Below are 15,662 nucleotides of genomic sequence, written 5' to 3'. Positions count from 1 at the left end.
TTTAAGGTCATCAAAGTCTTCCAGTGTGGAAAAAATACTCTGGACCCTCCTCTCTATCCTTATTTTAATGGTTCTCATAGCAGCATTCAGCCCAGTTGATCACTTGGTTCCCTTAAATATATTCCTTTCTTAGCTTCTATGGTATCATTTTCTCCTTACATTTTTTTCCTTCTGTCTCCTTTGATGATTTCCCCTTTTCTAACTTGATCTATAAGTGTTTGGTTCCTTAGACCTGGATCCTCGGGGTTTTTTCCTCCTATTTCTTATCCATACTTTCACTTTCCATGACCTCTTAAGGTTGGTTTCAACACCATCTTATATTGATGATTCTTAAGTCCAGTCTGCTTCTCTGAACTCTAGAGTCATTTATTCAATTCCTATTCTCTATTTCCACTTGGACAATCTACTGACTAATTCATTTAACATCAACACAGTATTTCTTTTCTCCTAAACCTGTTTACAATCACCTGTCCACTCTAGATCATCCCCATTTCAGTAAATAGCTCCACCATCTACCTAATTTTTTGACTCAGAAATCAAGGGGAAATACTAAATTTCCTGTATCAAATCAAGCAGCAGTAACTGTTGCTTCTGTTTCTAAAACATATCTCAAATTCACTTTCTTGTCTCCCTCCTAAGCTAGGTCATCATTATTTCTCACTCATATTACTGTACCAGCCTCCTGGATGACTGGCTAGCCAATTAATTTGTCATACTGTCTCAAAAGTAACTTTCTGTACTTTTGCTTTTGGTTATGATGGAGTAGTGTGTTAGATGCTCACACTAAAAGCAACTAAAAAAAGCCAGTCAAAACTCACTACAAAAATGAAACAACCACTAAAAAACCCCACCTGTTGAATTAGTGTTACAGGGAAACTTCTAAGAAAACTATGGCTTGAGGGTCCAAAGATTCCGGAAGGGGAGGAAATTTAGAGGTAAAATGACATTCTGAAATTGCTTTTTCCCTTAGATTATTTGATGATTCTTGGTGGAACGCAAGAAATTAGAAGTATGGGCAATGGACACAAGAAGGCTGCTGCTGGGGGCAGGCAAGGCTTCTTGCAGTCTCACAAGCTGCTAAGACAAAAATTGTAGACTCAAAGATTTAGAACTCAACTGAAAAAGGCAAGTTTGAAAATAGAGCCTGATACACAGCTGATTTTTCCCTCTAAGTATATACCAAATTCTGAACTTGTACAGGGTAGAAGCAAAGTAGAAAGTTTCTGAAAAAAGCAAGAAGCTTCTGAAAAGCATAGTAAAGTTTTTGGAAGTTTCAAAATGCTAAGGAGACTGCGATTAGAGATCAGAACCTGCCACGCATAGGGACCCCACTGAACACCCCAGAAACCCAGCTGGAACCCTTAGAGCGGTGATTCTCAAACATTAGTGTACATTAGAATCAACTGGAGGGCTTCGTAACACACAAAATGCTGGGCCCCAACCCCAGGTTTTCTGATTAAGTAGGTCTAGGGTGGAACCTAAGAGTCTGCATGTCTAACAATTGCCCAGGGGAAGCTGCTGACAGTGTGGGGACCACATCTTTAGAAATACTGATAAAATGAAATACATCAACATTTGGATGATTTGTAACTCTCAGTGAAGCAGTATTTGACCAATGAATGACGTTACAAAATCACAGATGGGAAAAAAAAATTCAAAGTAAAAGATAGACCAATAGATTTTAATATAATAGACCTTGAAAGTTCATTGGCATGGTTTCAGGTTCCAAAATGCAACTAATCTTTAAGAAGCTACCACTTGTTGAGTTCTGGTTTAATAGCAAGGAAGAATATCTGCAATTATTTGAAAAGATGAATAAAATACTCTTTCCTTTCCCAACTACCTATTTGTGTGAAGTCGTATTTTCTTCATACATTTAAACAAAACAACATATCACAACAGAATGAATGTAGAGGTTGATATTTATATCAGGGTATTTTCTGTTAAGCCAGACATTAAAAGAGATGTGCAAAAATGTAAAACAATGTCACTTTACTCATTAGTCTTCAAAAATTTTATTGTGGAAAAGATATATTTTTATAAAGATTATGTTATCTATACTAATATATAAGAAGTTTAATATTTTAAAATGAATTAATAGGTAAATATATTTAAACTTTCTCAGTTTTAGGCCAGCACAGTGGCTCATGCCTGTAATCCCAGCACTTTGAGAGGCCAAGGTGGCAGGACGGCTTGAGTCCAGGAGTTAGGGACCAGACTGGACAACATAGTGAGAGTCCATTTCTACAAAGATAAAAATAAAAAATTAGCTGGGTATGTTGGCACACACCTATTGTCCCAAGTACTTGAGAGGCTAGGGTAAGAGGACTGCTTGAGTCTGAGAGGCCGAGGCTGAAGTGAGCTGTGATCACACCACTGCACTCTAGCCTGGGCAATGGAACAAGACCCTGTCTCAATGAAAACAAAGAAAAAGAAAAATAAAAAGAAAACAATTTTTCAGTGTTAATTTCTATTATTGTAAATACTCACAGATAGAATCCATATAAAGTCTTTTTCGGTCTGAGACAAAAAAGTTTGAAAACTGTTGCTTTCATACAAAATGTATGGCATTCAAAAAAATTACTTTGCATACAAACAGAAGGCCTGAAAACCAAATAACTATAAGTAATATATTTAAGAAAACAGAGGGAAGATGGAAAAGATACGTAAAATTACAGAGAATTTTACAGAGAATTGGATTTCATAAAAAAGAATCAACTGGAAATTTTAGAAATGACATTAAGAGCTTAATAGATAGTTTAAGAGGAAATTAGACAGTGTAGAAGAAAGAACAATGAACTGGAAAAAATTAATAGTCCCAGTATTACTTTAGGAGTGGCCAAAGTAATATTTTATTTCAGACTGTAGTAAGTCAAGAAAGTATTCTGTATTCTTTGGACAGTCACTAAAGAAACAGTTTTGTTTTCTTTGAGACAGGGTCTCACTCTGTCACCTATGTTGGAGTACAGTAGCATGATCATAGCTCACCGTAGCCTCCATCTCCCAGGCTTAAGCAATCCTCCCACCTCAGCTTCACAAGTAGCTGGAACAACTGGCATGTGCCACCATGTCCAGCTAATTTTTTTAAATTTTTACTGGAGAAAGGGTCTTGCTATGTTGCCCAGGCTGGTCTTGAATTCCTGAGCCCAAGCAATCCTCCTGCCCAGGCCTCCCAAAATAAATGGTCTTTTAAAAAAATGTATCTATCAAGTTACTAAAGAAAAAAGTATAAAATTTTTAAAAAACAGAACCAGCTAAAAGTAAAGGGTCAGAAAAAGGAATATAGGTGAGTCAAATAGAAAACAAAAAGTAACATTTATATATATATATACACACACACATGTGTGTGTGTATATGTATATATTCAAATACCAGTAAACTACATTAAATGTAAAAGGACTGAATAGTTACATTAAAAGTCTAAAATTGTCACACTTAAAATGACTGCATTCTGCTTGGAAGAGACAAACCAACAAGAGAGATACAAAAAGGCTGAAAATAAAAAGATGGAAAAAAGATATACCATGTAAACACTAACCAAAGGAAAGGTGGTACAGCTATACATATTTTCGATAAGGTAGGCTTTATGGCAAAAAGCAGTACTATAAATCATGAGAGATATTTAAAACAAGGGAGAAATCCATATGTAAGATTTAACAATCCTAAATCATTTGTCCCCAAAATCCTTTTCACCATAAGCAAAAAAATCTAAATGAAGAAACAGACAAATCCACAATCACTGTAGGAGGTTTTACCCCTATCTTAACAGATAATGGAGTAGGCAGACAAGAAATAGTAAGAATGCAGAAGATCTGAACAATACAGTCAACAAACTTTACTCACATATCTAGAACATTGCATAGAGTAACTGCAGAATATACATTCTGTTCAAGTGATCACAAATTTTTCCCAAAATTGACCATATGCTAGATTATTGAAATCAGAGTATGTTCTCTTCCCAAATGGAATTAAGCTAGCAATCAATACTATAGAGATAACTACAAAACCCTCTATTGTTAAAAAATGAGGGAATGCATGTCAAATAACACACAGGTCAAAGAAAAAAAATCATAATGAAAATTACAGTATTTTGAACTGAATGACAGCTGAAACCAGTGATCTGACTATTCATTTCAAAAAATTAGAAAAAGAACAGCAAATAAACTCAAAGATAGTGGAAGGAATGAAATAACAATGATGCAAAAAATTATTTTATAAACAGATTAATAAGAGATGATACAAATAAAGTACTAATATTGGGAATAAAAATGTGGCTTAACAATGCAATTACAAACATTACCAAGGTAATAAGAAGATATTATGAACCCATTTGTAACAATAGACCTGAAATTTTAGGTGAAATGAACAAATTCCTAAGAAAAAAACTAACCAAAAATGATATTAAGGAGAAATGAAAAATGTGAAAGAGATGTGTATCTTTTAAATAACCTGAATTGGCCAGGCGCAGTGGCTCACGCCTGTAATCCCAGCACTTTGGGAGGCCAAGGCAGGCAGAACACCTGACGTCAGGAGTTCGTGACCAGCCTGGCCAACATGGTGAAACACCATCTCTACTAAGTAATCTACAAAAATTAGCCAGGCGTGGTGGCACACACCTGTAGTCCCAGCTACTCGGGAGGCTGAGGCAGGAGAATCACTTGAACTCGGGAGGTGGAGGTTGCAGTGAGCAGAGATCGTGCCACTGCACTCCAGCCTAGGTGACAGAGTGAGATTCTGTCTCAAAAATAAAAAATAAAGAAATAAAAAAAATAAAATAAATTGAATCTGTAATTTTAAACCTTCCCACAAAGAAGTCTCCAAGCCCAGATGGCTTCATTTGTGAACTCTTACAAATACCTAGAAATAAGACTAATCTCACTTTGGGAGGCCAAGGTGGGTGGATCACGATGTCAGGAGACCATCCTGGCTAACACAGTGAAACCCCATCTCTACTAAAAATACAAAAAAATTAGCCAGGTGTGGTGGTGGGCGCCTGTAGTTCCAGCTACTCAGGAGGCTGAGGCAGGAGAATGGTGTGAACCCAGGAGGCGCAGTTTGCAGTGAGCCAAGATCGCAACACTGCACTCCAGCCTGGGCAACGGAGCAAGACTCTATCTCAAAAAAAAAAAAAAAAGAAAGAAAGAAGACTAATCTTACACAAACGTTCAGAAAGTAAAGAATGCTGCCCAATTTCTTTTAAGAGGCCAGAGCGCCTTGATAACAATATCTGTCAACTTTCAAAAAAAGGCAAAATAACCAGTTAGTTTTTTTCATGAATAGAGGCAAAATTTTCCCCTTTAATTTATGCCATGTATAGGAAATCTTTGCCTAAGTCTATGTTTTTTTTAATATGGAAGTTAGTTTTACCTTTCATATTTAGGTTTGTTAAATTAAATAAGCAGGATGCCATTAGCCTGGGGCTGTCTCTGTACTTAGTTCCTACGTAATGAACTACAACCTAACTTAGTACTTACACAAACTGAAACCCAACTTAGAAGTATAACAAACAGATAGTTTCAGCTGATCACAAGCAGCCAACTCATCACACCATGCTCAAACAAGGTAAATGTTTCATCATACCATGCCCATGCAAAACAAGGCAGATGCCTAGCTGAAGCCAATCAGGTAATTTATCTACTTTGCTTCTTTATCTGGCCTATAAAAGCTTGCTGCTTATGCTGTTAAGGGGGCCCTCTGAACCTCTTCTGGTTCTGAGTGCTGCCCAATTCATGAATCATTCATTGCTCAAATAAACTCTGCTAAATTTGTCTGAAGTTTTTCTTTTAACAGGTTATAATCCATTAAGAATTAATTTTGCATATGGCATCACATGATTCATTTTTCCCATATGCATATATATGGATAGACTGGTGTCACTGCCTTGACTAATGTTAAGACACCACCAGTTTTACCCACCAATATTTTTACACCATCAGTGCAAAGGCTGGCAAAGTGAAAAAGGAATATAGTTATGATTTGTGCACTTTTCTGCCCATAAATTACACTTCAATTAAAGTATACTTAAAAATCAAAAATAGAGATTGACGATGAAAGAAAAATGACTTCTTAAAAGGTGTACTGAATTATATCACTCTACTGTTTAAAAGTTAACAGTAACTTCCCTTTGCATTTGGAACAAAGTTAAAATCTTATATAGAACCTACAGTATTTCATTATCATAATACATACCTAGTTTTAAAAATCTGGGTACCACTTTATCTCATGCTATCTTTCCATTTGCCTATTACATTCCTATCACACTAGTTTTCCTTCAGGTCCTTAAGCACACTCCCTCAGAGGCTTTGCACATTAGCCCCTTTACTTTGTTTACCACTTTTCACACAGCTAGCTCCTTCTCATCCTGTACATCTCCTCACAGAGGTTTTCCCAGTCATCCTATGTAAAGTTGCCTCTCTCCTGTGTTTTATATCTTGGCTCATTATACCCTTTATCGCCTTGCTACAACTTGAAATAGGTTTACTTATTTTTTGTCTGCTCCTCCATTAGAATGCATGATCCCACGGGGACAGAGATCTAATTGTCTTGTTGAAGTTGTCTTAAGATTTAGCACAATGCCTGGCACATAGTAGGTGCTAAATAAATAATTTTTGAATAAATGGAAGATTAGTGTCAGGTTGTTTCCTATCAATCTAATCTAAGAAATTATTTAATGTATTAGTTATCACTACCAATTCTGTTTTACCTACCAAGTGTTTGCCTTGTTTTTATCCATTTGTTTATTCATTTACTCACCAAAAAAACTTACGAATTTAGAGTTTATGATGTGTCAGCCATATAAGTTATAAAGAAGAGTAAGCCACGTTCTTCACTTTTAAGGATCTCAGCATTTATCAAGGAAAATCAATGCATAAAACAAAATTTTCTCTTTACCAAAAAAATTAGTTAACACAAAGCCTTAAATCTAAAATGCTGAAATGAAGGGAAAAGAAAGATGAACCCTCCAAAACAAACAGTCCAGTAAATCTATCAAAAAAAAAAAAAAACCAAGTTAATTAGGCATCACCTTTTCTTAGTGAATCCATGCTGACTCTTGGAGATTATCTCTTTCTAAATATTTAGAACACATTTTTAAATGTAATATACTGTAAGAAATTACAATATATTATTATCAGGACTTCAGATAAAAATTAGCTTACTTTACAATGAGAATAATTAGAGAAAATCCATTCAACAGTATAATTACTTTGACTTGTTTTTGATCCCAATATTTAATTTTGACTTAAACACTCTAATAAGGAAGTGTGAGAATACTGCGTGTTTACTGAAAGGTGTGTAAGTGGGAAAAGGTTGAGAATCTCCCCACTGCAGGCAGGCAGATTTCATCTAAATGCAAGAAAGAACTTTCTAGTAGTTAGAGCTGTCCACCAGTAAAGCAAGCTGCCTTGTGAAACAGGAAGCTCTTAATCACTAAAAGTCTTGAAGGAGAGCTAATAGGACATTTTCCCCGGGACAGAGCAGAAAGCCCAGATTTAGGAGGCAGCATTGATTAGATCAGTGCCTCTCAAGCTACGGCAAAGGTGTACTTTTTAAATATTTTAAACATTTCCAATCTTTAGTGGACCAATACTTTTACATAGCACAAAAGTATCACACATTTGGGTATCGTGGCGATATTATAAGCTTTCTAAATGTTTACTTTTGGTTTCTGTTTTTAACTTGCACAAACTGGACTGGTAAGAATAGGCAAAATACACATTGATTAAGACTGCATTAGACAGCCTGTAAGACATCTCTAAGCAATCTGTCCTCTCCCCTTCTATATTCACTATGCATTACTGTAAAACTACTCATTTCATAACCACCAACCTCTTTCTTCATCAATTTAAGAAAAGCAGTAATCTAAAAGATATTAGCCTTGAAAGCATTAGATCAAGGACACGAAATGTTTTTACTGCATTATTTTTTTATCTCACTACATTGAAAAAGAAAAATTTCCTTTTTACCAAAATACGTCTGAATGCTTATTTAAAACTAATTACAAAAATTTATTTTCAGCCATTTCCCACACCTAATTTTCTGGTGTCACTTTCTTTGCACAGCTGATAATGAAATGTGTAACAAATTATAGTTGGTCACACATTTGAAATTCCAAACTTGTTCTATCAGCTGGTAGCAAAACCAACAGAAAAGTTCCTTGGGGGTGGGTGGGGAAACATATTCATGAATTCGGAAGCACTGGAAATGAGATTTAAGTATTTCCAACTACCTATAATACCCAGTGGTGACCTGGCTAAAGTAAATATGTTGAAGGATTCCAAGAAGAAGAAACAAAATTAAAAGCTGCCCATTCTCATACTTCCCCAAATACTCTTGGATTTCGCTTACCAAAGGCAATGAGGCATTTTTGTTTAAAATCTGTTAGCTTCCCATTGAAAACAAAACAATCTTCCTTCTCAAAGGATAATCTTTAGATTTATGAGCTATCATCTCTCAACTCCATCAAAGAGAGAAGTTCCAACATTCCTATCACTACACTTTTACTAGAGCAGGAGTTCTTAACTGTGAGTATATGGATGGGTTTTAGGAAGTGCATGAACTTTCTGAAACTCCAAATGTTTATAAATTTTGGGTGAATGAGCAGTTATATGGAAAAAAAGTCCACAGTTGTCAATATATTCTCAGAGGGAACAATAATCCAAAAACATTAAAAGCATCTTTCTTAAGTTAAAAATCTGATCTGAACAGAAACATAGGGTACAGCCTCTACATTAATTGAATAGGCATAAAAGGTTATTAAATCATGCAAACAAAAAGGACTTTAGAAATAAATCCTGTCATTTTGCAAATAATAAAACTCATATTTGGAGTTAAGGGAGTTTTCAAGGCCACAATGCTGACTGGAAGGTAGAAGCCAAAGAAAAATGCTGATCCCTTGCTCCGAAGTCCATTCTTTCACACCCAGCTACCCCACACAGGGTGAGACTAAAGGATGTTAGTAAGCCCACTATAGTCAACAATCCCACCTCAAATAAATATACCATCTCAAAATAAATCGTAATTCTTTAAACACTACTTGCTCATAAGATAGCCCACAATGCAAAGTAAATTAGCTGAGTGAATCTTTCAGTAACTGTTGAAACTGTTTAGAAATCTTTAGCAAAACCTCTTTTGAAAGTTTATTCTCATGTTTATTCACACTAAAGAATAATAAGTGCAAAAACCAACAGAGATGATGCTTAGCGAAAAAAACTTTTATAGTAAGTAATTAAGTGAGAAAGCTGAAAAAGAATGCCTTATTTTGGTACTGGTTAGGATGGAGAGGAATCCAAAATTTGTTTTTAATTTTTTTGAAATAATTAGGAAACTGAAAGTCTGTAAATAAGAATCCAAGAAACCCTTCACTTTCCTCCCCCACCCCCCTTTGACTTCTGAAATACAGTGTAACTTTCTACCATCTGTTATTTTAAAGCAGAAACAGCAATGAACATATGGGCTTTCCCTCTCAAGCAGCTGTAGTGTAGTTAAAGTTATAATAATTGTCTTTCTGTAAGATAAATTTACATTAAAAACCTGGCCAGTTAAAAACAAATGGCTCAGCCTCAGAGCCTTCCAGAATAAAATTCAGAAATTCAGAATCATCTATGACATATTACATTCACAGATTTGGAGGAAATCCTCTAACTCTTGTGCTTTTACATTGAAGGTTACATAAATACAATTCGTGATGCCCAAATCAGTTTATACAACCAAAGAGTCCATAACTCGTGTTTTCGATTTTTCTTGATAAAAATGGTAGGCGCATCAGATGGTTCAGGAAGTCATATATAAAAACCAGCAACTAAGTTCTTGAAAGCAGATAATATAAATCCACTACTTGTGTGAATCACTGAACTCCAACCTAAATGCTCATTTATGAGAAAAAAATCACAATACATGTGGCGCACAAACTTCCATCTCAACTATATATCATATATGACTTTAATCTGAAAGGAATTCACAGCATATTTTGATATACATATTATGAAAAATAGGAATTCTACCTACCTTTATCTGGGTGATTCAAAATCATGACTCTCCTATGAGCTGTTCTAATCTTAGCCTTGCCAGCAGATGGGCTGTAAAAAGAAATTACAGTGCTTATAATAAATAGCATCAAATGCAGATTATAAATTAAGGGTTTATATGGGTTTCAAAAAATTATACCTAATGAGAATTTCACCATCTTGTGGACAAATATGAAACTACAGCTTTCCACTTAATTCCACTAACCATCAAAATAAATCATTGATTCAATGTTACATGTGTTTTTCTTCAGTCCTTTGTAATGCCAATCCTTATTCTCAATCAATTTAAAAAACAAAACAACATATAGGTTAGGGGAGTCAGCTTCTGCAGACAATACTGTAAGTTTGAAAACTTATGCTTCTAAGTTATTTGGGGGGAAGGCGGTATATACGGTGTAGCAGACAAGTATTTGGATTCCAGAGGCATACTGCTGGACTTTCCCCCCCCACCCCCCAAGAAGGAGGAGTCTTGCTCTGTTGCCCAGGTTGGAGTGCAGTGGCATGATCTCAGCTCACTGCAACCTCCACCTCCCAGGTTCAAGTGATTCTCCTGCCTCAGCCTCCCAAGCAGCTGGGATTACAGACGCGCGCCACCACACCCGGCTAATTTTTGTATTTTAGTAGAGACAGGGTTTCATCATGTTGTCCAGGCTGGTCTCGAACTCCTGACCTCGTGATCCACCCACCTTGGCCTCCCAAAATGCTAGGATTACAGGTGTAAGCCTCCACGCCTGGCACACTGCTGGATTTTAATGCCAGTATTGCCACTTAAGATTGTGTAAGCTTGATCAAATTTTTATCCTCTTGGTGCTTCAGTTTCCTCACTGTAAAACAGGGCTAGAGCAACTGTAAGGATTAAATGAGTTAATGCCTACGAAATGTTAGAACAGTACCTGGAATGTAGCAAGTGCTTCATTATAGTTATCTTTTACCTTTACAGAGGATCTCAAAACTCTTTATGTCTCATAGTTATTTAGCTTTGTGAAAAAAACCCATGGGAAAAGCTTGGCTGTTAAAGCCTATGCTGTAAACAAAAATTAAAGTAGATAATTAAATAATCCTAAAATTATTTGGGTAAAACCCAATGTATCCAGTATTGGAAATGTTGCTTATTAGTACATTTTCTAGGCAAGGGAAAAAAATTAACACTAACAACAACAAAATCCTACTACTGCTACTTAATAGCTATACTATCTTGTTTAAGCTACTTAACTTTTCTGAGTCTCAAATGGGGATAATAATAGTTGACTTAAAGCACAGTGTAATTATTGTAAAGCTCAAAATAATTTAATTTGCATGGATGAACCACAACATAATAGCTAAAAGCATGTGCTTTTACAGTTAGTCAGAAACAGGTTCAAATTCTTGATTCCACTACTTATTAGCTGTGAAAGTATGTCTTGCTTAAACTCAGTTGCAATTTTCTCATACGTAGCATACACGTAATAAAACCTACCCCCAGGTTTATTTTAAAGAAAAATTAGATAATATAAGTAAAAAGATTAACATAACCTAGCACACATGAAAGTAAAGGATGCTTATGAGACTGTATTAGATATCTCCTGCATTTTGAAAATAAAGTGTAAATAACCTAACTTAACATTTCTTGGATGGCTCACAGCATTGTCATTATTACCAATTAAACTCTCAAGGTCTGCAGATGTTTGCTTGTCCTCCTACTAAATGGACCTAGAATGTTATTCATTTAAGTTCTATTTTGAACAGTGCCTCCCCTATGCTATCAGCTGTCAATCCTTGATTCTGCTATTGTTCTAGTCTTTGGCAGTTCCTTGCTAGTTACTTGCTACCTCTGATCTGTGGGTAAGTGATAGATCACCAAGCACATTAAAATGCACTATTAATTGCTGAGTAGGCACATAAAATAGTCTTCCATGAGTAAAATGAATTAAATATTTTCCTATAAGGACTTAAGAGTATTCCTCTTGGCTGTTTACCTATGTCTTTGAAGCAGCATTCTAAACTTACTTTTTGGCTTGTAGGTACCTCCCAGATAAACAATTAAACATTGTCTGGTTAAAAGACTACTGAATTTTGAGAAAATAACTGTTAAACATCATACCAGAGGTATGAACACTATACTGTTTAACTGCCTATTAAGAAACAAAAAAAATTACACTGAAAAATTACAGCTCAATGATTTCGATTTCTGTGGCTAATCTACATTTATCAACTCCTTTTTTTGCTACACAGGTGCTCTGTGGCACATCTTGCCTTTATTACTTATGTTTTCTAGCTGTTCTGTATGTATTTGGCATGTTGTGTTAGGTAGATTCTAAATAACTTTAGGGCTGAAACTATGATTTGTATCTTAAAATAGAAATTAGGATTGTAGGCCGGGGGCAGTAGCTCACGCCTGTAATCCCAGCACTTTGGGAGGCTGAGGCGGGCAGATCACAAGGTCAGGAGATCGAGACCATCCTGGCTAACATGGTGAAACCCTGTCTCTACTAAAACTACAAAAAATTAGCCAGGCGTGGTGGCGGGCGCCTGTGGTCCCAGCTACTCGGGAGGCTGAGGCAGGAAAATGGCATGAACCCAGGAGGCGGAGCTTGCAGTGAGCCAAGATAGCGCCACTGCACTCCAGCCTGGGTGACAGAGCAAGACTCCGTCTCAAAAAAAAACAAAAAAAAGAAATTAGGATTATATATCGTACAAGTGCTTAATGCATTTTACATCACCCTCCAAAAATGACTGTAAAAAGGTAAACTCCTTAAAATAACAAATACTCCATATTAGTAAATACTAATATTATAAAGGATTACTATGCAAATAATTTTAAAGTAAAAAAGGGGGAGCTTTAAAAACCTATTTCATAAATTTCATCACCATGTGGCCCTCTAAATAATGAGATAAGTTCAGTAAAATCCAAATTTCATATATATATACACACACACACATATATATACACACATATACGCATACGCACATATATGTGTGTATATATATATATATAGGTGAATGTTCTGCTGAACCATTGTATTTTTTTAGAAGATATATGGCAAGGTCCATTTTATTCTAGATATTAAGTTTTAGTTGAGCACATAATACAAAATCTGAAAATTACTCCGTCAAAATTTCCTTGATAATTAATTACAATGCTCTGAAAATCAGTTCCACATAGTTTTGTACATAAAACTCCACAACGCATTATGCATACTGAGGTCCACCAACCACTGAACTAAAGTAAACACAAGGAAGGAAAGTTCATATGCACAAGTATGGCATTCAAAACACTCTGCCTTTAAGATAATAATGATCAGACTCCTAATGGTGAGCTCTGGAAATGAGACCTATTCTGCTTTGCTGGCAGTGTTTATTTCCTTTTAGTTATTATTATATTAAGTCTCTTGGACCTTAATACATTTTAATATTAATACATGTTTGTTGCTGTAAAGATTAAACAACATGAGAGAAGCCTAGTTTTTAAGCTTAGTATAAAAACTAAATGTAGCTATGATGATATACCTCCAGTATAACTTTAAATATGATGGTACCTAGACCAGAGATTTCAAACACCTCCCTAGAATGCATCTGGCTGGCAGTGGGGGTATGTGGAGTGGTGTTCTTGGACCTTCTGGCAAATGGAGCAGTTTTGGTTTCATCTTTTTTTTTTTCTACTACTGAGCTTTTGAGTAACATATAGTGATATGGTTTGGCTCTGTCTCCACCCAAATCTTATCTTGAATTATAGCTCCCATAATCCCCTCATGTCATGGGAGGGGAACCGGTGGGAGGTAACTGAATGATGGGGGCGGGTTTTCCTGTGCTGTTCTCATGATAGTGACTAAGTCTCATGAGATCTGATGGTTTTATAAAGGGCAATTCCCCTACACATGCTCTCTTGCCTGCTGCCACTATGTAAGATGTGCCTTTGCTCCTCCTTTGCCTTCTGCCATTATTGAGGCCTCCCCAGCTATGTGGAACTGTGAGTCCATTAAACCTCTTTTTCCTTATAAATTACCCAGTCTTGGGTATTTCTTCATAGCAGCTTGAGAATGGACTAATATAGTTTATAAACAGAATTCTACAAAAGTTTTTAGAAAGCTTAAAAATCATAAATGTGCCAGGCATGGTGGCTTCTGCTTGTAATCCCAGCACTTTGAGAGGCTGAGGCAGGCGGATCACAAAGTCAGGAGATCGAGACCATCCTGCTAACACGGTGAAACCCCGTCTCTACTAAAAATACAAAAAATTAGCCAGGCGTGGTGGTGGGCGCCTGTAGTCCCAGCTACTTGGGAGGCTGAGGCAGGAGAATGGCGTGAACCTGGGAGGCGCAGCTTGCAGTGAGGGGAGATCGTGCCACTGTACTCCAGCCTGGGCAACAGAGCAAGACTCTGTCTCAAAAAAAAAAATCATAAATGTGCATCATTTCATATAATACACAATACTGTTGATAGGTTCTTAAAAACTGTGATTTTAAGCAAAATGATGTATGGCAGGTCCCTGAATAATGTCATTTCCTTCAACATCCTTTCATTGATTTAAAAAATTGGTTTCATTATAGTCATTTTGTTTAAAGTCACAGTTTACAAGAACCCATGGGTGATATTAAGTGAGGACTTACTATACCAGGTATAAAAACAATTTTCCTGGGCAGCTTTGTAAAATAATTCAGGCTTTTTGTTACAGACATGAGTCATATTGCAGGACACTATTCTCTTGCAAGGAAAAACATAAGGCAAAGACTCAAATACACATTTCAATAAACAATTCTCATATGCAATATGTCAGAATGTATAGTATCATCTAGAACACATACAGTATTTTTAAAATAGGTTATCAAAAGGATCGGCTCCATTTTGCCTTCACCTACCTGTTATATAGTCTACACAGCTGAGATTCAATGAATATACTCACATCTTAAAATTATCTTGTCATAATCAACATTGCCTGACTGAAAAGAAAGGGCTAGAGGAAAGCAGATAAGTTTCATTTACCTTTCCACTTAATGTGTTAGGACAAATATCTAGCTTCTGCGTTCGTGACAGACATGGAAAGAAACAGGAGCCAAATTTTTTTCAGCACCTGATATTTGGTAGGTATTATGTAAAAAGGTATCATCATATCATTCTTATATTATTCCAACAAGGCAGAATATTATTACTCTCAATTCAAAAATGAAGAAGCCAAAGTATAGAAAAGCTAAAAACAAAACAAAACAAAAAAGCTTGACCAAGATCATACAGGGCAGCGCCTAAGCGACAGACTCAGGGCAATAATCTGCTTTGCTTGGCTGCTATTTATTGAGTAGTTAGTAAGTACCATGTGTTGCAGACATATGTTCACTGTGGCAATATTTACAACAGCAAACATATGGAATCAACCTAAATGCCCATCAGTGGTAGACAGGATAAAGAAAATGTGGTACATAAACACCATGGAATACTACGCAGCCACAAAAAGTAATGAGATCGTGGGCTTTGCAGAAACATGGATGAACTGGAAGCCATTATCCTCAGCAAACTAATGCAGAAACAGAAAACCAAATATCACATGTTCTCACTTACATGTGGGAGCTAAATAGTAAGAGGGGAAAAACAGACACTGAGGCCTACCTGAGGGTGGAGGGTAGGAGGTAAGAGAGGAGCAGAAAAAATAACTATTGGGTACTAGGCT

At 36.1% G+C, this 15,662-nt stretch overlaps 1 protein-coding gene across 1 annotated transcript in view; it reads right to left on the bottom strand.

Annotated features, from left to right (window-relative positions):
• Positions 1 to 15,662, bottom strand: part of DNAJC15 (DnaJ heat shock protein family (Hsp40) member C15) — a 90,628-nt gene that overhangs the window by 18,370 nt on the left and 56,596 nt on the right. The window contains exon 5 of the mRNA NM_013238.3: positions 10,006 to 10,076. Within this exon, the coding sequence (NP_037370.2) occupies positions 10,006 to 10,076 (71 nt within the window). The remainder of the gene's footprint in view (positions 1 to 10,005; positions 10,077 to 15,662) is intronic.

The sequence above is a fragment of the Homo sapiens genome, chromosome 13 (assembly GCF_000001405.40).
Source record: "Homo sapiens chromosome 13, GRCh38.p14 Primary Assembly".
Taxonomy (NCBI): Eukaryota; Metazoa; Chordata; class Mammalia; order Primates; family Hominidae; genus Homo; species Homo sapiens.
The sequence above is the reverse complement of the archived record's forward strand: the minus strand, read 5'-3'. Positions and strand labels throughout refer to the sequence as shown.